The sequence below is a fragment of the Homo sapiens genome, chromosome 3, assembly GCF_000001405.40.
Source record: "Homo sapiens chromosome 3, GRCh38.p14 Primary Assembly".
NCBI lineage: Eukaryota > Metazoa > Chordata > Mammalia > Primates > Hominidae > Homo > Homo sapiens.
Window position 1 is genome coordinate 34,387,944 of NC_000003.12, and position 22,113 is coordinate 34,410,056.

General features: G+C 38.2%; 1 long non-coding RNA gene across 11 annotated transcripts in view; it reads left to right on the forward strand.

Moving 5' to 3' along the window:
• LINC01811 (long intergenic non-protein coding RNA 1811) overlaps positions 1 to 22,113 on the forward strand; it is a 276,733-nt gene that overhangs the window by 228,580 nt on the left and 26,040 nt on the right. For 5 of the 11 annotated variants that reach the window (NR_183682.1, NR_183680.1, NR_183685.1 and 2 more), the window contains one exon: positions 21,318 to 21,418. The exons of 3 other annotated variants lie outside the window; for them this stretch is intronic. This is a non-coding gene — a long non-coding RNA (long intergenic non-protein coding RNA 1811). Of the gene's footprint in view, positions 1 to 9,463; positions 9,537 to 21,317; positions 21,419 to 22,113 lie in introns of all 11 variants that reach the window. 3 more of the 11 variants (NR_183677.1, NR_183679.1, NR_183686.1) reach the window with 2 other exon arrangements.

A 22,113-nucleotide genomic window follows, 5' to 3' on the forward strand; every position in this document is an offset into this window, starting at 1 on the left:
ACTGGAAGACATCTGCCTCTTGCCTTATTTTTTTTAATTCCTCTAAATGATAGAGCCAAGTCTCCACACCAGAGCTCCCTCTCCCTGAACAAACCAAATGGTGGCTGTTGGCAGTGCATTGACAGCTTGTTAATGGAGGAATCCTTGACAGTGTGACAACCTGCCTGGGCTGCCGCGGGAAGCCAAATCCGCCCCCACACAAACCCGAGTAATTAACAGGTGGGGAAAAATAGCAAGTAACTGCTGCTGAGGAGAGGAAAAATAGTCAACCTAGTGAATTATGTATATTAAAGTATAATATCTCTTTTGCAATCCCTTTCCTAGTTCTTACTAGCAAGCTCTACTGGAAAGTGGTTTGACTTTGGAGTCAGGTGAGCCTGGATTTGAATCAAAGTTTGGCCACCTACTGGCTGTGTGTGACTTTGGGAAAATTCCCTTCACTGAACCTCCATTTGTGATCAGTACTGTGGTCAGATACTATTTGTGAAGGCACAATTATAGATGCCACTTATCGGTGTTCAATTGTCAAAACCTCTTTTTATGATGATGGATTTGCCAAATTGTTCTTGTAGTTCTGTCAAGTTTTGTTTTTTTTTAATATCGTGAGGTAATTTTTTGGTTCATTAAGTTTGAAATTGTTATTTCTACTTGGCGAATTGGGCCTTTTATCATTAGACAGTGACTTCCTTTTTCTCTAGTCATACTTTTCGTCTTGAAATTATTTTTTGTGATGTTATTTTATGTGCTGATATATATACACACACACACACACACATGCACACACAAACACATATATATATATTCCATTTATTTGATAGTATTTCTGTGCTTTTAGGTTTCATGAGGTTAGGGGTATAGGATGAAGGGTATAGAGAAGGGGAGGGCTCTGGTTACCTATTGCTTGGTTAAGGCGTCCACACTTGTTGGGCTGACTGTCTAGACATCCTCTCTCCCAGCTCCCTCAAACCCAAAATATATTTGCATGAATTCCAATAAAGAAATCTTCTCAGAGAAGCATGTGCTGGTACCACCCACACCAGCTGGAACATTTTTCTCTCAGCTCTGACCTACACTAGAAAATACGTGGAAGGAATTTTTCAAAACTTAGATCTGTAGCTCTTGATATAATACCAGGGGCTAAAATGAATTTAGGAGACATTCAAGGCTGTTTAAAATAGTTATTTTCAAGCTTTCTTCAGTCTTAGATCTCTTTGTGAATGTGATGAAAGCTCTGGACTCTTGCCTCAGGAAAAATGCAAAAACACAAGATTTTCAAACTTTAGCTGATCCTATTTTTATGTCCTAAAGTTCCGGAGGCTCCAGGTAAAAGGGCCGCTATTTAAATACTCATGTTGCAAACATTAAGGGATAAAAGGCAGGATGGAAAATTTAAACACATGCAAATATATTGGTCAGAATGGTGGACTGTGCAGTCCTGGCAGAAAATTTGCTGCCTATTCTTTTCTAGGGTGGGCTCAGATTTATCAGTGAGGCCATGCCCTGAGCAGAATTGCCCTGTGGCAAAGGAAACCTGAGCTGAGGACTAAATGAGAAAGTCCAGAACCGGTGAATGCACATGACCCCAGCTGAAAGTCTCTAGGAAACATCCCCCCAAGGAGGGCTTCATAACCCAGGGCTCACTGAAGAAAATTCCAATTGAAGATAAGCTGAGGAGAAAATATCACAAAACACTGAAAAACACCACTATGAGAGGTAAGTCTAGCAGATGCAACAAATAGAGCGTTCATGCCCAAGAAAGTAGAAGTAATAAAATCAGCTGAAAAAGTACTTTAATATAAGTATGTTGAAAATATTGAAAGTTTAAAAAAGGATAGAATCCATAAAAATGGAGATAATGGAAGAGGACGGAAAAACTTGGGGAAAAATAGCTAGTTTCAGAAACAAAAAATATTGGTATGGGTATGGAGGAAACTTTAAGGACACTTTAATCAGCAGACTACACAGGATTAAGAAGTGAATAAGTAAAACAGAAAGATTATCAGAGGAAGTCATCCAGAATACAGCAGAGATAGAAAAAGAGTTGAGGGCTAAGAAAGAGAAGTTGAAGAATGGAAGAATTTGAAATTTCACCCTAGACACACAGTAATGAAATTACAACATTCATGTATCATGGGAAAGTTCTAAAAGTTATCAGGCAGAAGAGACAGATTATTTTAAAAAGTCAGTATCAGACAAAAGGCAGACTGTTGTTATCAGTAATAGATACCAGGAAATAAACAGGAAATAAATAAAAATATCTGCAGGGCACTGAGGCAAAATTGTGTGAATACATATCTTACTAATGCAAATGATGCAAAAACCAAAACAAACCAAAACAAAAACTGAACACCTGCTGGAAATGTGTTCACGTTGAATTCATTCTGGTTGGTTAAATTTAAAAAGACGATTATTTTTATCTCAATATTTCTGTATTGTTCACATTCCGTGTAATAAACATGATTTACTTATGTAATAAAATGAATATTAAAAAAACAAATAATCTGAGTTGAAATTATAGGAACTTTGTTCATGTCTGTTCAAATTAAGCTCATTCTTTAAGGCTTAGCTCTAATAACATTAAACATTTTTATTAATATATAATGTTTGTACCTTTTCATGGTATAGATGTAGTATTTTGCTACATGCATAGAATATGTGATGATCAAGTCAGGGTATTTATAGTAATCATCTTGACTATTTATCATTCCTATGTGTTGGGAACATTTCAAGTCCCCTCTTCTAGCAGTTTTGAAATATATAATATATTTTAAAAATTATAGTCACCCCACTCTGCTATCAAATATTGGAACTTATTTCTTCTATTTAACTGTACGTTTGTACCCATTAACCAATCTTTCTTCATGCTCCCACTCCCAAATCTCCACACAGACACCCTCCCCAATATTGGGTAACTATCATTCTACATCTCCCTCCATGATAGCAAGTTTTCTATTTCCCACATATGAGTGAGAACATGCAATATTTGTCTTTTTGTGCCTAGCTTATTTCACTTAACATAATGACCTCCAGTTTCATCCATGTTGCTGCAAATGACAGGATTTCGTCTTTTTTTTATGGCCAAAGAGTATTCTACTGTGTATGTGTACCACCTTGTCTTTATTCTTTCATCCAAAGGTGGACACTTGGATTGATTCCATAATTTTGCTATTGTGAACAGTGCTGAAATAAACTTGAAGGTGCAAGTATCCCTTTAATATGCTGATTTCCTTTCCTTTGGATAAATACCTGGTAGAAGGATTACTGGATTTTCTGGTATTTCTGTTATTAGTTTATCTGAGAAATGTCTACACTGTTTTCCAGAATGGCTATAGAAATTTACATTCACACCAACAGTGTATAAGAGTTACATTTTCTACAGTATGGAGATTCCTTAAAGAGCTAAATGTAGATCTACTATTCAATCCAGCAATCTCACTACTGGGTATCTACCCAGATAAAAAGAAGTCATTATATGAAAAAGATACTTGCACATGTATATTTATAGCAGCACAATTCACAATTGCAAAGATGTGAAACCAACATAAGTGCCTATCAACTAATGAGTGGATAAAGAAAATGTGGTGCATAGACAGCATGGAATATCACTCAGCCATTAAAAGGAATGAAATCATGTCTTTTGCAGTAACTTGGATGGAGCTGGAGGCCATTATTCTAAGTGAAGCAACACAGGAGTGGAAACTCAAAAACCATGTGTTCTCACTTATAAGTGGGAGCTAAGCTATGAGTAAGCAAAGGCATACAGAGTGATATAATAAACTTTAGAGACTCCAAATGGGGAATGTGGGAGGCAGGCTAGGGATTGAAAAAAAAAAACCTACACATTAGGTTCAATGTACACTACTGAGGTGATGGGTGCACTAAAATCTCAGAATTCAACACTATACAATTTTTTCGTGTAACAAAAACCCACTTGTATCCCAAAAGCTATTGAAATAAAAATTTAATAAGGAGTTATGTTTTATCAATATGCTCACCAGCATCTGTTATTTTTTCGTCTTTTTAATAATAGCCATTGTGACCAGGGTAAGATGATATCTCATTGTGGTTTTCACTTACATTTCCTGGATGTTTAGTGATATTGAGCATTGTTTCATAGACCTTTTGGCAATTTTTATGTCCGCTTTTGAGAAATGTGTATTTATGTCCTTTGCCTACTTTTTGTGGGATTATTGTTTTTTTTTGCTATTGAGTTGTTTGAGTATTTTGTATATTCCAGATATTAACCCCTTCTTGAATGAATAGTTTGCAAATATTTTCTTCTTTCAAAAGATTGTCTATTCACTCTGTTGATTGTTTCCTTTGCTGTGCAGAAGCTTTTTAGTTTAATATAGACCCATTTATCAATTTTCGTTTTTGTGGTCTGTGCTTTTGAGGTCTTAGTCATAAAATACGTGCCTAAACCAATGTCCTATAATGTTTACCGTAGGTTTTCTTCTAGCAGTTTTATAGTTTTGGGTCTTACATTTAGGTCTTTAATCCATTTTGAGTTGAATTTCTTATAGGATGAGAGATAGAAGTCTAGTCTCATTATTCTGCATATGAATGTCCAGTTTTCCCAGCACCATTTATTGAAGAGGGTGTCCCTTTCCCAATGTATGTTCTTGAGAACTTTGTTGAAAATCAGTTGGCTGTGAATACGTGGATTTATTTCTGGGTTTTCTATTCCATTTCATTGATCCATATGTCTATTTTTATACCAAGATCATGCTGTTTTGGTTAATACCCTTGTGATACTTGTTAATATTCAAAATGTTACTTTCAGAAACATTTTGAAATCAGGAAGTGTGATGCTTCCACTTTTTCCCTCAAGATTGCTTTGGTTTTTTGAGCTCCTTTTTGGCTCTATATACATTTTAAGATTTTTTTCTATTTCTGTGAAAATGTCATTAGTATTTTGATAGGGTTGTGTTGGATCTGTAGATTGCTTTGGGTCATGTGGCCATTTTAACAGTATTAATTCTTCTTATCCATGAGCATGGGATGTCTTTTTGTTTGTTTCCTCTTCAATTTCTGTCATTAGTGTTTTTTAAGTTTACTTATAGATGTCTTTCACCTCCATGGTTAAATTTAATCCTAGGTATTTTATTTTTTTTGTAGCTGCTGTAAATGGGATTATCTTCTTGATTTCTTTTAGCTAGTTCATTATTGGTGTATAGAAACAATACCAACTTCTGTATTTGGATTTTGTATCCTGCAACATTACTGAATTTACTTATCAATTCTAAAAGTTATTTGCTGGAGTGTTTAGGTTTGTCTAAATATATAATCACGTTGTCTACAAAGAGGGACAATTTGACTTCCTCTTTCTAATTTGTATGCCTTTTATTTTTTTCTCTTGCCTGATTGCTTTGGTTGTAACAGGGTTTTTATCATGAAACATTTTTAGATTTTATCAAATGTTTATTCTGCATCTATTGAGATGATCATGTGGCTTTCAGTCTTAATTCTATTGATGTGATGTATCATGTTTATTGATTTGCATATGTTGAACCATCCTTGCAATCCTGGTATAAATCCCATCTGATCATGGCGTATTAACTTTTGGATGTCTTGTTGAATTCAGTTTGCTAGTATTTTGTTGAGAATTTTTACATCTATGTTTATCAGAGATATTGGTCTATAGTTTTCAATTTTTGGAAATAATTTGAGGAGAATTAGTGCTAATTTTTCTTATAAGTTTGGTAGAATTGGGCAATAAAATAATCAATGCTGGGCTTTTTGTTTGAAAGTATTTTCATTATTATTCAATCTTGTTACTCATTATTGGTCTGTCCAGATTTTCTATTTCTTTCTGATTCAATTTTGGTAGGCTGTAAATCTCTAGGAATTTATCAATTTCCTCTAGGCTTTTCAGTTTGTTAGCATATAGTTGTCAATAATGCTCTCTGATAACTTTTTATATTTTTGTGAAATCAGTTATGTCTACTTTTTCATTTTTGATTTTATTTTGGCTTTCTCTACTTTTTTCCTGCATAGTCTACCTATTGGCTTACTGATTTTGTTTATCTTTTCAAAAAACCAACTTTTTGTTTCATTGATCCTTTGTATGTTTTTAGCCCCTATGTTTCATTCTGCTCTGATCCTTATTATTTCTTTTCTTCTACTAATTTTTGTGGTTTGTTCTTGCCTTTCTAGTTCCTTGAGGTGCATCGTTAAGTTCTTTATTTGAAATATTTTTACTTTTTTGATATAGGCATTTATTTCTGCAAACTTTATTTTTAGGACTGTTTTAGCTGTATCCCATAGGTTTTTAGTATGCTGTTTTTCCATTTTCATTTGTTTTAAGAATTTTTTTGATTTTTTTCTTAATTTCTTCATTAACCCACTGGTCTTTCAGGAGCATGTTATTTGTACAGTTTCCAAAATTAATTTTGTTGTTGATTTATAGTTTTATTCCACTGTGGTCTGAGAAAATATTTGATATAATGTCAAATTTTTAAAAATTGGTTTATTTCAAAAGACCTGTCTTCAAGTTCTAAGAGTCCTTCTTCGCTTGTTCTAGTCTATTATTGAAGTCCCTGATAATTTTTTTACTTCATTCATTGAATCCTTCAGTTCCAGGATTTCTGTTTGGTTCTTTTTTATATATCTCTCTCTGCTGAATTTCTCACTTATATCCTAAGTTATTTTTCTGATGTCTTTGTATTGTTTATCTGTGCTCTGTTGCATCTCACTGAGCTTCTTTAATATTATTTTGCATTCTTTTTCTGGCTTCCCATAAATTTCTGTTTCATTGGAATCTATTGCTGGGAAATTATTGTGTTCCTTTAGAGGTGTCATATTTTCTTATTTTTTCATGTGTGTGTCTGTGTGTCTGTGTGTATGTGTGTCTGTGTCCTTACATTGATGCCTGGACATCTGGTATAACAGTGGCTTCTCCCACTTTTTTGGATTAGCTTTTTTTGCGGAAGATTTTTTTCATGAAGATGTATCTATAGTTTTGGTTGGGTGGAACACTTTAGCTTTGATTTGTGGTGTGTGCAGTAGTTTATTCTCCGTATGATTTATTAGGCTGTAAACAGTGTCAGTTGTGTCTGTGATTTCCTTTGTGTTGTAGGCTGTGGTTGTTAGTGGAAGCTGTGCTGCCCAGTCTTCAGGCCCCAGTGGTGGAAGCATGGGCCAGTCTCTCCTGTTTTTGAGACCATGGGTGTCAGTGACTCCAAACAGGTTGATTCTTGGCTTGCTTAGGTCCTGGCAGTGGCAGGGTTGGACTCAGCAGGTGGGCAGGTCTTTAGTCCCCTGGATGGTGTGCATAGCCTGGATAATGGCAGCAGCAGTGGTGGGACAACTCTTTGAAGCATCACATGTTGGTGTTAATGGTAGCTGCAATGGGCTTGACAGGCCAGTTTTCAGGCTCTATTATGGCATATTCTGGTAGGTGCTTGCTTTGGTGGTAGTGACAGGCTATGTGGGTTCATCCTCAGGCCCTCAGGAGGAGTGTGTAGATGTTAGCAGTGGTGTACGGGGTGAGGCAATTCCCAGGCTCCTGGATGTTGTGCTTAGTCACTCAGGAGGTAGTGTCCAGCTGGGTGGGCCTGTCCTCAGGCCCTCTGTTGGTGTGCTCAGGTGCTGGCTGTAGTGGTCAGCATAGAGTGATCCCTAGACCCCCTGGTGGAGTGCTTGGGTGCCTGCAACAGTTGCAGCAGTTGAGGTGGGGAAAGCCTGTAAAGACAGGGGCATAAGCGAGTGTGCTGCAGCTCTGCTGCCAGTGGGGAGATGTGGAGATATCTTGGCTGCAGCCACAGGCAGGCAGTTCTTAGGTTCTGGGGAGTGTAAACTTCAGCCCCTGGGGCCAGTGGCAATGGCAACAGCAGTGGCAGCAATGGGAAAAGCCAGTCCTCAGGGGGCATTCAAGTGAACAGTGGCCCTTCTTCTTTGGCCCATAGCCACCTCAGCAGTGGGTGCAGTGCAGTGGGCATTTGCACAGCCTGTTTTTCGGGCTTGTGTGTGGCAGTCCTGTTGCTGAGGATGAGGGTTGCTGTTTATGCAACGCCCAAGTGGTTCTCAGGCTCTAGGGAGTGTGCACTTTGGTTCCCTTTGTCCTGGGGGAAGTCTCTCCAAGGAGTAAGACTCAGTTTGTGCTAGAATTCTGGGGACCCTACTACTCCACCGGGTGCCACCAGCATTGTGCTAATGCAGCCCTCCAGGTGAATGTGAGAGGATGTTAGTGGGGCTCCAGGGATATAGCAATGCAAGAGCTTTTGGGTCCCAGGGAAGCATGCAGTATAGTGGGTGTTGGACTCTCAAAATGGCACCATGCTGCATCTGCTTAGTGCAGCAAGGGAATAATCTCATGGATTAAATGTTATTGGAGTGCCACTTGGGAGGATCTTCAATATGAATCACTAGAAGACATCTGGCACTTACCATAGGGGGTGTTTGGGATCCAGCATAAGCTCCCTCTGTAGAGTAAAGCCATCACATAGTCCCCAGCAGCTTCCTATGTTAGTCATAGGGCCCATGAGGATCAAGAAGTTCTCCTGTGGCTAGGGTTACAAGAGTTCATGGTAAACATATGGATTGCTGGGGATCTGTCACTTTCTTTTTTCCCATACGGGGGAGGCTCTCTAGGCTCCCAGCCAAGCTTGGCCAATCTGGCTGCCTCACTTCCCTCTGCTTCTGTGCCTCAGGTATTTCCTCACTTCTCTGTTGAATTCCAGTGTTGTCTCTTAGATGCTGTATTAAAAGTGACATTATCTAATTGCTATTTTATTTCTTTGTAGAGGAGGTAAGTGCCAGATGTCTTCTAGTCTGCCATATTGAAGCCCCTGTCAAGTGGCAGTCCAATGATATTTTATCTATGATATTATTCCCTTGTATTTTCACCTCTTAGGGGAGATTTATCCATTAGGCACAGTAAGTACAGTATCAAGGGTCCATGAAAACATTAACATTTTAAATGCTTTTAAAATCAGAAGGAAAAGATAAATATACTAATAATAAATACCTAGTAATAAATCCACCATGGATTATACATCTTTATATCAATGTTTGTGGTAAAATATAATTTTTAGTTCTATTTTGCCTAGTTAGTTTGTTTCAATGGAAGAAGGGGCCCATGAAAGCCAAAGTTTCAGGGCCTATGACACTTATAAAGCAATCCTGAATCTCCATTTTTCTGTTTTAATTTTGGTTTCCCCAAAAGCAGAACCTAAGACAAGGCTCTACAGGCAGCTTTTTTGGGAAGTTATCTAAGAAACAGATGTGAGGGTCTGGGGTGAGACAGAGAAAGAGGAAAAGCCAATAAAAGCATGTGTTCTCAAGGTCATTGATGTGGGCAACATGATTCAGTTTCACCAGGACCTCCATTTCTAAAGATGCATAGAATGCCTTCCAGTATTCCTGGACATCTGAAGGATAGGCAGCTGGGATATTTATCCACTGACTTCTGTTCTCCATTTGTTGAGCATTGCTCCTAGAGGCTGTAAATTCTCTTCCACAGGGCTTGCATAAATGCTGGGTGTCCCAACACTGGAGCAGGCCCTGAAGAGGAAAATGTAAAGTGCTTGTTAAAGGTGAGATGCTTGTTAGCGTGAGAGTGAGGTTGCATGGCTGAACAGAGTTGAAGCTGAAATGAGAGATGGGACAACGTCATGTGACTCAAAGTGATGTAACTCAAAACACCAAGAATCTGATTCAGTTCCCCTGGAATTAATTTCACGTTATCACCATTCTCCCATACCATTTTATTTGTACATATGCGAGAGCTCATTTTGCATTCATCTATGTTTCATGTATCACATAGTTCTTTTTGTTCTTGAAATATAAATTCCTTGTGGAATTCCTCATACTTAATACATATTGTTGATTTAATTTAAATAAGGGAGTCCTGAACTTGGATTTAGGAAGACTAAATTCGGTTCCCTCTCTAAAACCAACATGCTGTATGATCTAGGGCAACTCCCTCAGTCTACTTTAGGTTTCATAACTATATCCACGAAATTAGAATCTTGGACAATATCTTACCCAAGGACTCTTCTGGGAGGGGTATATGGTTTGATTATTCCCATCCACCTTGCTTCATTCAGCATTACAGAGCTCCAACTACATTCCAGGCCCAGTACTAGTTGCTAGGTTTATAGAGATAAATGCAACCCAGCCTTACTGTGCAGGAATCTGCATCTCTTCAAAGAAAGAGACATATGAAGAATTATAGCAGTGTGACAAAAGTAAGCACAGAGGGATAGGGACACACAATGGTATCTGTAACCAAACTTGCGGTGTCAAGAGGAATTCTTGCAGAGATCACAGCTGAGTTGATTCTTAAAGGATGTTACTTAAAGGATAAGTAATGGCAAGAGTATGAGGAGGACACCTCATATAGAGTTTGTTCAAGAAAGGGGACATCTTTCTCAAGCCTGAGGACAGCTGGCTGAAGAGAGAAAATAGATGTTCTTAAGGCCTTCTAAATTTTGAGCCTCTGATGTATTTCAGTGCTACATTTTGTCTTCTTGAGGGCAATTGTTTGGTACGCTCACGTAAGTTTTAATGCATGTGCTAGGCTCAATATTGGGAAAGGAAAACAAGTTATATGGACAAACTATGGTGCCCAAGGCAGGAGACAAGTTTTTCTATGTTTGCTGGCAAAGAAGATTTACCGAACTATTTTATATTTATTATTAGGCAGCACTGTGGAAATGGATTTTTAAATACCTACAGCCACAGGCTAATGGAGAGAAGAGGATATATTTGCCACTAGACAGGTCTTCAGCCAATTTATGTATGTTAAATCAGTCCAATGTTCCTCTCCTTGATCATAATGAGTATATTTCTTTGGAGAAATCAAAGTCCCTGTTATTTTCTCCCTATTTATGGTGATAAGATATTTGTGTTACTCCAGGTAAAGTGCCCCAGAAATGGCTTGTAGAAGCAGCCCTTCACACTAAGTGCACCGTGGGAAGAATATGTTACAGGAATCCCAATCCTCTGGATATAAATGTTGACATTTTGCCCTTCCTGTTTGGCATGAGTAATCGATCACCTATAATTTTACCTCACGGAATCATTTTCTGCTTTAGGCAGAAATGTTCTTTGCTGATAAACATCCCACTACACATAAATGTCATCCTGAAAGGTTCTCTTTTTGGAGAAATGGCCAAGAGCCCTTCTATTTCAATAATTTTCTTTACTAAAGAAGAGAAACAAATGACAAAACTCGACAAAGTGGTGGCTGGAACACGGTCTTCTCAACGTTTCTTGGAAGGATGAAACAGGAGAATGCCAGAGGGAGAATTTATTACTTGTAAGGATGCTCATTTCTTAGAAAAGTTTGGTTTATAATCTGAAATTTGGTATTGACTGCAGGTATGGACATGGATTCATTGTTGCTGATGCCAATTCTGGGCATGTAATAACTACTCAAAACTAAACCAGGCCACTACCATTTTTTAATTGTACTGTGGATCTTTTAGTCTTAGTTTAAGCTGCCCCTTTGACTTTATGGGAAGGAAACAGAATAAAGGAAGGAACATGCCTAGCCTAATTAGACTATACTAAGTGCATTGGCCATTTCATTAGTTCTTTTACTAATGACTGGACTAAGTATTTTACACATGCTGTCAAATTAACACACATTCATGAAAAACATTGAGTCATATACTGTGAAGATTAAAAATCATATCATGCAATCTTCACCACAATTTCAAGAAGTTAGGCATTTCATCATCCAAAGTTTGAAAATGAGCAAGTAAGAGTTTAAATCAAATGCCTAAGTTTACATAATTTGCAAGTGATGAAGCTGAGATCTGAATTCAGGTTTATCTGACTCCAAAGCTCATGTTTAGGGCCTCACGGATAACACTGTAGTCATCCAGTAAATGCTTGTAAAACTAAACTTTTGTGGAAGCAATAATGGTGGACCCACTGAAGATGGCCCAGGGTACAAAGGAGTCATCCTCCTCAAAATCCCACTCTTTCCCCATCCATTGGTTTATTTATCAAACACTTCCTGAGTTTATATTCTTGTCAATATACTGTGTTATGAGACTCAGATATGAACTTATCTCTGGACAGCCTTAATCCCAGATGACCTAGTTGGGAAAATAGAAAGACAAATAATTATTACACAGTAGTCTATATACCAATTCAGGAATATTTATGGTGATCTATGACTGAATAGTAATTACCCTAAACTTAGTGTCTTAAAACAGTAGTTTTATTATCTCTTATGATTCTTGAGGTATTGGACTCAGCTAGGGTTCTCTTGTGTTTTTGCAGTCCAATGGTTGTTGAGACTAAGATCATCTGAGGCTTTCTTTACTTACACATCTAGCTTCTGGGATGAATGGAACCATTGTTAGATAGTCTGACAGATATCTCTTTCTTCACATGGATTCTCCATATGGCTAGCTTAAAATTTCTTATAGCATGACAGTCTCATGTAGATAAATATTTCTGGTGACTGGCTTCCCTTGAATTAAACCTTCCAAGAGACAAGGTTGGAAGCTGCAAGGCTTTTTCTTAGTAAACCTCTGAAGCCACACAGTTTTTCTTCCACTGCATTCTGTTTGTTACCAGTGAGTCCCAATCCTGCTCAGATTCAAGGGGTGGGGCTATAAAAGAGCACAAATACTGACAGAGGCATTGTTCTTTGTTGTGTTGGGGGGGTGCATCTTTGGAGACCAGCTCCTATATTTACCAAGGGCTTTGAGATCCGTATGAAGCAACAGACCAACTCTACCCTAAGGCAGAAGAAGTCCAGGCTGAGAAGATTTTGACAAAGGTGAGGTGGGACTTACAAGTCAAGAGGCTAGAGTTTGGTCCCCCACGTAATTGGATTGAACAATGGCGTGTGTTTAGTGGGATGGGGTATGTGGAGAGTGGCATAGAGGGTACAGAGATTACCAATAGGTGTCTGCTTCCTGGCCATGCAAGAAATGCAGACTTTATAAAGAAGGGAATAGGAATCATTGAAAGGTTTAAAGCAACCAAAGAGTACCAAGATGAGTGCTGCATATTAGAAAGATAACTCTCTGGTTGCAGTGTGGACGATAGACATAAGAAGTCAATAATGGAGTCAGGGAAACATGCAAATGAGAGAAAATGGTGGGCAAAGGACATGGACAGACACTTTTCAAAAGAAGACATAAGTGCAGCCAACAAGCATATGGAAAAATGTTCAACATCACTAATCATTAGAGAAATACAAATCAGAGCTACAATGTAAAACCATCTGATACCAGCCCGAATGACTGTTATTAAAAAGTTAAAAAAATAACAGATGCTGGTGAGATTGTGGAGAAAAGGGAATGCTTATACATTGTTGGTGGGAATGTAAATTAGTTTAGCCATTGTGGAAAGTAGTTTGTTGATTTCTCCAGGAACTTAAAATACAATTACCATTAAACCCAGCAATCTATTGGTTACATACCCAAAGGAATGTAAATCATTCTACCCTAGAGACACATGCATACATATGTTCATTGCAGCACCATTTACAATAGCAAACACATGGAATCCAATGTCCATCAGCAGTAGATTAGGTAAAGAAAATGTGGTACATGTAGACCATGGAGTACTACACAGCCATAAAAAAGAACAAGATTATGTCCTTTGTAGCAACATGGATGGAGCTGGAGGCCATTATCCTAAGCAGTCCTACCACACAGACATAAAACCAGATACCACATGTTGTCACCTATAAGTCACAGCTAAACACTGAGCACACATGGACACAAAGAAGGGAACAATAGACTCTGGGGCTTACTTGAGGCTGGAAGATGGGAGGAGAGTGAGGACTGAAAAGCTACCCATGCGGTATTAGGCTTATTACCTGGGTGATTAAATAATGAGTACACCAAACTCCAGTGACATGTGATTTACCTGTACAACAAACCTGTACATGCACCCCTGAACCTAAAAGTTAAAAATAAATAGGGTCGTTGTGTAAGATTAAGTTGAATTGTAGAGTAACATTTAAGAGAGGTGTGAAAGTGTAGCATGTGCTAAGATGCATAGACTTTGAACTCTGGAATATGACTGCTTGGTTTTAATCCCTGACACGACCTATGTGCTCTTGGGCAACTTGCTTAATCTTCTGTACCTCAGTTTCCCTATCTGTAAAATGTGAGAATAATAGCCCCTATCCAAAAACAGTTTTTGTGAAAAGCAAATTAATTATTTTTACTACAGTATAAAAACACCACAAGATCAATTCTGTCCATTATGTTCACTGATATATTCACAGCACCTAACTAGATTCTCAATAAACATTTTTGAATGAATACATGTAAAATGATTGGAACAACAACTGACACAATTTTACTCCTAGAAATTTATCCTAAAAATATACTCACAATAATTTAAGCCAATGTAAATAAGAGATTATTAATTACATAAATAGCAATAGCTTACTTGAACAAGAAAAGTTTGGGAAAGAATATATGCTTATATACATACATTTATCAAAAGGAGACTGTATAAGCAAATTATGGCTTAGTCATACAATGAAATACTATGCAGTCACTAAGAAAATAAGGGAACTTGATATGTACAGTTAAAGAATGATCTCCAACATATGTGAAAAAGTAAGGTACAGAAAAAAGCAAAGTGTAGAAAAATATCAAGGTGCTAGTGCATATAGTATGTTATCATTTGTAGAGGAATGTATATGCATGTATGTGAATATTTATGTATATACCTATATATGTGCACACACACAATCTCTGGTAGGGTTCACAGAAATTTGGCAACAATGTTTGCCTCTGGGGAAGGGATATGGCTCTCTGGGCTCAGGAGTGGGAAGAAGACTGATGCTAGACTCTTGATATTTGTTTTATGTGCAAGGTAAATGAACCCTGTTTAAAATGAATCAAACAGTTTATCATTTCTAAAGGAATAATTGATATCAAAAAACAGTTGAGTACATAAGGTCATGCGAGAGGGTGGGTGTGTTTTCAAGTGTCTAAGAGAGCCACATGGCATCTTGCTGAAAGTATGTGTGTGGACACAGGGCTGAAAAAAATGTGGCATTTTTCTGCACAAGGGAGCATCATGCCTTCAACTGGTAAATCCCCTGTGAATTGACCTCTAAAGATTGATTATGGTTCAGCATTCCACTCCTTTGGCTTGGAAAATTAGATTGAATACCATTATTAGTTTTGACTATCAGACCTGAATTTTCTGTATACTCACATAGCAGGCAGATAGCCTCTAGTATTTCACAAGTAATCTCATGGAAGTTTGCTTTCTTAAGGGGATGGAGGATGCTAAGAGTAGGCCAGTAGTGCCTACTATGTGCCAGGAACCCTGCTGGGTAGTTGACTTATACATCACATCAGTTAACCCTCTCACTACCACCTTGAGTGGTCATTATTATCTCCATTTAAACAACAAACAGTCTTAGATGGTTAAATAAATTGTCCATGGACATACAAGTGTATATGACAAGAGAGAAGTCATATGACAAATGCTATTGACTATGCCTGAGCTCGTGAATCATTAATATTATCATAGTATTTTTTTTGAGGAGGAAAACCTTAGACATCATCTCAACTTGGGCAGGTCACTCATATTTTATAGGTAAGGATGGTGTGGCCCATAGATGGGAAGAGAGTTATTCATGTCACAAAGGGGATGGTGCAGGTTAGGGCCACATTCTAAGTCTTTAGATGCTTAGCCCAGGATCTCTTTGGGTTTTATTTTTTCAGTTCTTTCTAAAGTTGGATCCCAGCAAAACCTTACAAAGGCTGCATTACTCTTGGATCTCATCTTAAAGACCCTGAAATGGCTCCTCTATTTGTTCTGGGATCCCTTATTTTTGACTCCCCATGTTCATCATTGGTAACTTGGCCTGTGCCTGTAGAAGTGACCTACCAATTTTTATAAATAGCATTTCAAGCTGTCTTTAAATTAGAAGTATCTGGTGAGAAAAGATTGGTTTTTATTTGCTTTGGAATTTCTGGACTTCTTTGTTTTGTGTCAGGCATGACTGTAGGTACTCATCCTGGCTTGCCTAAATGAGTAATTATCTGGCATTCATTTAAAAGGGCTGTATAGAACCCAGAGGCAGTGCCACATTGATGTATGGATTACCAGTAGAATGTGAGAGCTACAAGTTAGAAAGTTTTATTGCTTCCGTGATACTCAGGGTTCTAAGATGATCCCCAAGATTCCTACCCTTCAGTGTATGCACCATGTATAATCTCTTCCTTTTGATTGTGGGCAGGACATAAGAATATTATGTATGTCACTCTCATAATTATGTTACACTATATGGGAATGATAATTAGATTTTATAGATGTAATTAAGGCCTCTAATAAGTTTGACTTTGAGTTAATCAAAAGGGAGATTACCTGGGTAGGCCTGACCTAATCAGGAAAGCCCCTTAAAAGGAAGGCCTAGGCCTTCCTAGAGGTTAGACAAATTGTCCTCATGGCTTTGGATTGTACAGCCAAAAGTAAATGAATTCTTCTAACAATCATGTAAGTTTGGGAGAAGACCCTAAGCTCAGATAAGACGATAGACTGGATTGACACCTTGATTACAGCCTTGTGAGACTGAGCAGAGGACCCAGCTAAGCTGTTCTCAGAATTCTGCTCTACAAAAATTGTGGGATACTAAATGGGTTTTAAGCTTCTAAGTTAGTGGAAATGTGTTAGCCTAAAAAACTAATATATTCCTTGTGTTTGTGGAAAGAATTTACACTCCGCTTTTTGTGGTTGATCAGTGGTCCTACACATGATTTCTTCCATTTTTTGTTCCTACTTAAACTTGAATTTTTTTAGGTGAGAATCTTCAAGAACAAGAACCTTTAGGTGCCTTTGTATAATATTCGTCACAATAGCAAAGACTTGGAACCAACCCAAATGTCCAACAATGATAGACTGGATTAAGAAAATGTGGCACATATATGCCATGGAATACTATGCAGCCATGAAAAATGATGAGTTCGTGTCCTCTGTAGGGACATGGATGAAACTGGAAACCATCATTCTCAGCAAACTATCGCAAGGACAAAAAAACAAACACCGCATGTTCTCACTCATAGGTGGGAACTGAACAATGAGAACACATGGACACAGGAAGGGGAACATCACACACCGGGGACTGTTGTGGGGTGGGGGGAGGGGGAGGGATAGCATTAGGAGATATACCTAATGCTAAATGACAAGTTAATGTGTGCAGCACACCAACATGGCACATGTATACATATGTAACAAACCTGCACATTGTGCACATGTACCCTAAAACTTAAAGTATAATAATAATAAAATTAAAAAAAAATTTGTCAAATGACTTAATTTCCTTCTGCCTTCCTTCATTCATCTGTGAAACATGAATAACTCTGGTTGGTGTGTCAGCTGGCTTATTAAGTGGCACTCAGTTGGAAGTTGGGCTGGTCAGAGGCTTTTACAATGTTTGGGCAGCTGTTGTGGATTGGAAAGAGAACTAGGTTTGGAATCCAAAGAGCTTCATTTCCATTTATTCTCCTATGTAAGAGCTGTACGACCTTAGGCAAACTGTTGAACTTTTCTGATTCTTAGTTTTTCCATGTGTAGAGTGAGGGATAATAATAGGCTAGTGGTGAGGACATTGCATGACTCATGTTGTCACCTTCAGTTTGCTTTAAAATTGTCTAAGTCAGTTCCTCTCTCGTAAACTTTGAAGGGCCCTAACTCTCTTGATCCCTCGGATTCTTGTAACTCAGAAAGGAAGCTTTGCAAATGGGAAATCATTGAGAATGGTAAATATTCAGGTGACAAACACAACGAAAAATTTCCATTTTCTTTCATGAGCAAAATGTCACCCTATTCTGCTTCAATGGAGAATAAAGAAATTTGAATAAAATGTCAGTTTTTTTTCTGAACTAATTTGGGAATCATAATGACATGCACAGTCTCAGCTGAACACATGAATATTTATAATTAAAAATGAAATTGTCCTTTTTTTCAGAGTGTGACGGTGAACAAAAATCCCCAGGGGTGTCCTGGGCCAGAAGAGCTATTTGTTTTAAGAAAAATTCTAAGATAGAGAAGGAAAACAAAGCAGAACAAAACAAAAACAAACCAGAAAACACAATGGAAGCCATCTGAGGGTTGGTAAAACACAGTTGGACTCACAGTTATTCCTCACAGTTAGACTGATGGTGTCCCTTCCATCCCCTCCACATGGCTTACTCGTGGAGAACACAGAAACTGTCAGTCACCCTGTGAGGGAAGGAGCTTTGAGGACAAGTCCTGAGTGTTTGCTCCCCTACTCCCCTTCCCTGCCTCTGGCCAGCATTTTAATGTGCACACATACATTTCCTTTTCCAGACATACTGGAGTTCTTCAAAATTAAATAATGGGACAGACATGTATTAAATACATAAAATGAGAAAACAGGGTGCTCCTACAGGTAGTGAACCTTTAATTAGTAGTTACTATATCCATGTTATAGATGAACAAACTGAGATCGACAGATGTGTTTGCCTGTTAGTGACATATTTGGTTATTCCTTTCATTATAATTTTTAATTTTCATTTTTAGTCGGAGGACCTCTTCAGGATGTTTCCTTATACTCAGCACAGATAGAGAACCACTTTGATGTTGAGGAAGAAATAAACAGGCTGTAGGTCTGGGGTCTGGACTATGTGGCCTTGGGCAAAGCTCCAGTTTCTGGATCCTTACCCTTGTTTGGACAATTTTGTAGTTGAACTCAATGACAATTAAAAAGTTTCTTCTAGCTCTGAAGTCTGTGGCTGTGATTCCTCCCTCTTCCTGTACCAGCTTTCCAAACATTAGAAAGATGCTATTGTTCTGTGAAAGGAAAATAAAATCTCGGGACCCTAAAAATCACTAAGCCAAAGGGAAAAGTCAAGCTAGGAACTGCGCCAGGTAAACCTGCCTCCCATTTTATTCCCAAGTAGGATGGCTACAAGGATTTTTAAAAAGCTACATACCTCCTCACAATTTGCCCACAAGAAAATTCCTTGTGGGCCTTAAGATCTTTACCCTAAAATAATTCTGTTGAATTTCACCCTGGCAATGTAAATTAACAGCTTATCTTCACAGGTGTGGGACAAAGGATGGAACTTAAAGTCATCCCTCTGTTCACTTGAGACAAAAGCATATCTGATTGCTTCCTCTGCCTCACTGTTTATGTAAAAATGCAGATTCACTGAGCCAGACTAAGGCATAAGTGACTATTCCTCTACCCGCCTCTCACATGTAAATTGTGTATTTAGTGAAAGGCTGACCAAAGACCCCAAATAATACAACCTTTTGTCTTTTACCTACTTATGACCTGAAAGCCTCCCCTCACCCCCACTGCAAGTTGTCCCATCCTTCCTGATCAAATCAATGTAAATCTTACATGTATTAACGGATGTATTATGTCTCCCTAAATTGTATAAAAGCAAGCTGTACCCTGACCACCTTGGGGGCATGTCGTCAGGACCTCCTGAGGCTATGTAACTGGTGCATCCTTAACCTTGGCAAAATAAACTTTCTAAATTGATAGAGACTTGTCTCAGATATATTTAGGTTCACAGTTCTTTTCTCTGAGCCTGGCAGAGGAAATCATTTTTGGGAGGAAAGCCAAGGTTTATGTCACTTAGAACTTTTCACCCTAAATAATCTTTCCTGCTTTTCCCTTAAACCCAGGGAAGCAATTATTTTTGCTCAGCCTTGGTAAAGTTGAGGAACTACTAAACTGATCTGTTCAGGATTATTGAGCTTAATTGAGCTTAATCAAGATACATCTTTCTTTGTTGAAAAGGTAGAGAAGTTTGATGCTTAACAGCTCGACAGTTTCTTCTAGAAGCCTTGGAAAACTTGGTTTTATTTTCTCTCTTTTTCATGTACTTGCTTCTTTGGAGTTAATGGTTTCTTCCTGTAACAGTGCCATCATCAACCTTCCTGGACACCACCCACATCCATTATCTCAGTGACAGTGCCTTAATTGAAATGACATCTTAGAATTATTTCTTTAAAATTCATTGTTTAATTCAGTAAATTTAGTATTAATTAACGCCAACTGCCCTGGTGTTTTGGTCTCCCATTTGTCACTCTCTCAGCTCATGGAGCAGTACAAGAAATAATAGGTCTATTTCATTTTACAGGACTTATTTTACTTTACAATTCAGATTTGCTAGTGTAGCAATAATGGAAATTCAAAATGTCTTGGTATTTTGTAATGATCATACTTGGAAAAAAGAAAGCAAGGGAAGAGAAGAGGAGAATGAGAAAAAGGAGGAGGAGGAAGTAGAGGAAGAGGAGGAAGGCTGGTGGTCAGATTCTACTCATCAGTGGAGGAGCTTTGGTGCTGAGGAAAGTACCAGAAGTCAAGGTGGGGGTATACAAATGTCAGTTGTGGCTCCTTGGGTAATGTCAGACAGCTATATGCTTCAAAAGCCTTGTTCCATTTGCATAATATTCAAACTGAGACTCTGTGTGTGTGTGCACGCAAGTACAGTTAACTATTTTTCAGCCCTGTGGGAAAATATGTTGTAGTTAAATAATGTTATAACAAAGAGTTATCATGCGTCTTGTTAATATAATACAAATTTTCTAAGAATTAGATTATGTTGGGAACGTAGCTATTGAGTCTTAGTGGTTAAATGTGGTCTTAGGTTGGTTTTCCCAGAAGACTCTGAGATAAGGATTTGAGAACAAGTAGCTTATTTCAAGGGTGATCAAAGGAAGCATTCAAAGACAAGACATGAAAGAGAAAAACAGCCCCAAAATATATACCTTTTAGTCAGTTACACCATGGGCAATTGGGGCTCAACCCTACTGGGGAGCTTTGGGAGATGATGCAGAACTCACCTTCAAGTATGCCACCTGAAGGCTGAGGAAGCTTGGTATTTATCCTCCAGCTTCCACTTGTTATTACTGAGGGCTCCTTCCGGGAGCACCAAAATTGTGGAACTTATGGCCTGCCCAATTTGTGGGTGGCAAAATAAAGTCTTTGGGCTTGCTTTAAATTGCAACATGTATGTACTAGCAAGATGAGTGCAAAGAAATAGAGGTGGAACACTAACAACATCTACTTATGTGTAATAATTCATGGATAGTCAGGCTCAATTATCATCTGAGGTTAGAACTGGAGGCTGCCACACTGTGGGATAGACTACTTTGGGGTCCAGGTTACCATGAGGGGTGCACATACTCATCATACTTTAATATTTCTCAGCCAGGTACAATTTATCTATGTGTAGTGGATATGGCAGATGTTCTGCCCAGATCCCCTTTACTCAGAGCCTTGACTTAGCCCTGCATTGTGAAAGAGGGTAGCTTGTTTAACCTGTAACAGCAGTCATCTGTTTTTACATTAAGCGGTGCTAATGATCTGTCTATGCTTCTTGGCTTCATAGGTCACAGTGTTTGGACACCGCATGAACATGCCAATTTCCTGTGTTGTAATATTTTTATGCACTTTAAGAAGACCACCAGAAACAGCAGAGTGAGTGAATGAGTGAGTGAAATTCCTGTTTATGTATTTAGGTTAGAGTGGGTAATATGAAGCCACAGACGGAAAGGAAATGAACACCTTTTAAATGAGGAAGATCTTATTATCCCCATTTTAATATTATCTCCATTTATAGAAGAAAACTGAAGCCCAGATAATCTCATTAACTTGCACAATATCACAACCTGTCTGTCGGTAGATTTGGGATTTGAATCAGGCCTTACTAGACACAAGGATCACTTTTTAACAATCACATCACACTGTCCCCAAATGACAAGACATCATACTTCCTATTTGACTGGAATCTTGAAGTAAGGGGAGAAATTGTTGCAGCCATAGCACCTTTATTTCCAAGGGTTCTGTAACATTAGAATATTGTCAATGGCTCTGGCCAACAGAACATTGGGAATTGGCTCTAGTTCCTTTCATTTCTATTGATAATGTGATCTTCAGTTCACTTGAGCACATGAAATCTTCCTAAACTTAGTGATGCTTTCTGATTGGCAGGTGTGACTAACACATATCAGTGCAATGGCTCTGGAACTCTTTCCTTATAGAGTCTGATCATCTTGATTCTCAGGCTGAGTACAATTAAACCTTCTCTCATTTATAACTTACAAAGGTCTCACAATACCTGGGAGCCAATGTAATGCATGCCTTAATCATCAGTATAATATCAAGAAAGATTTCTTTGCCACAGG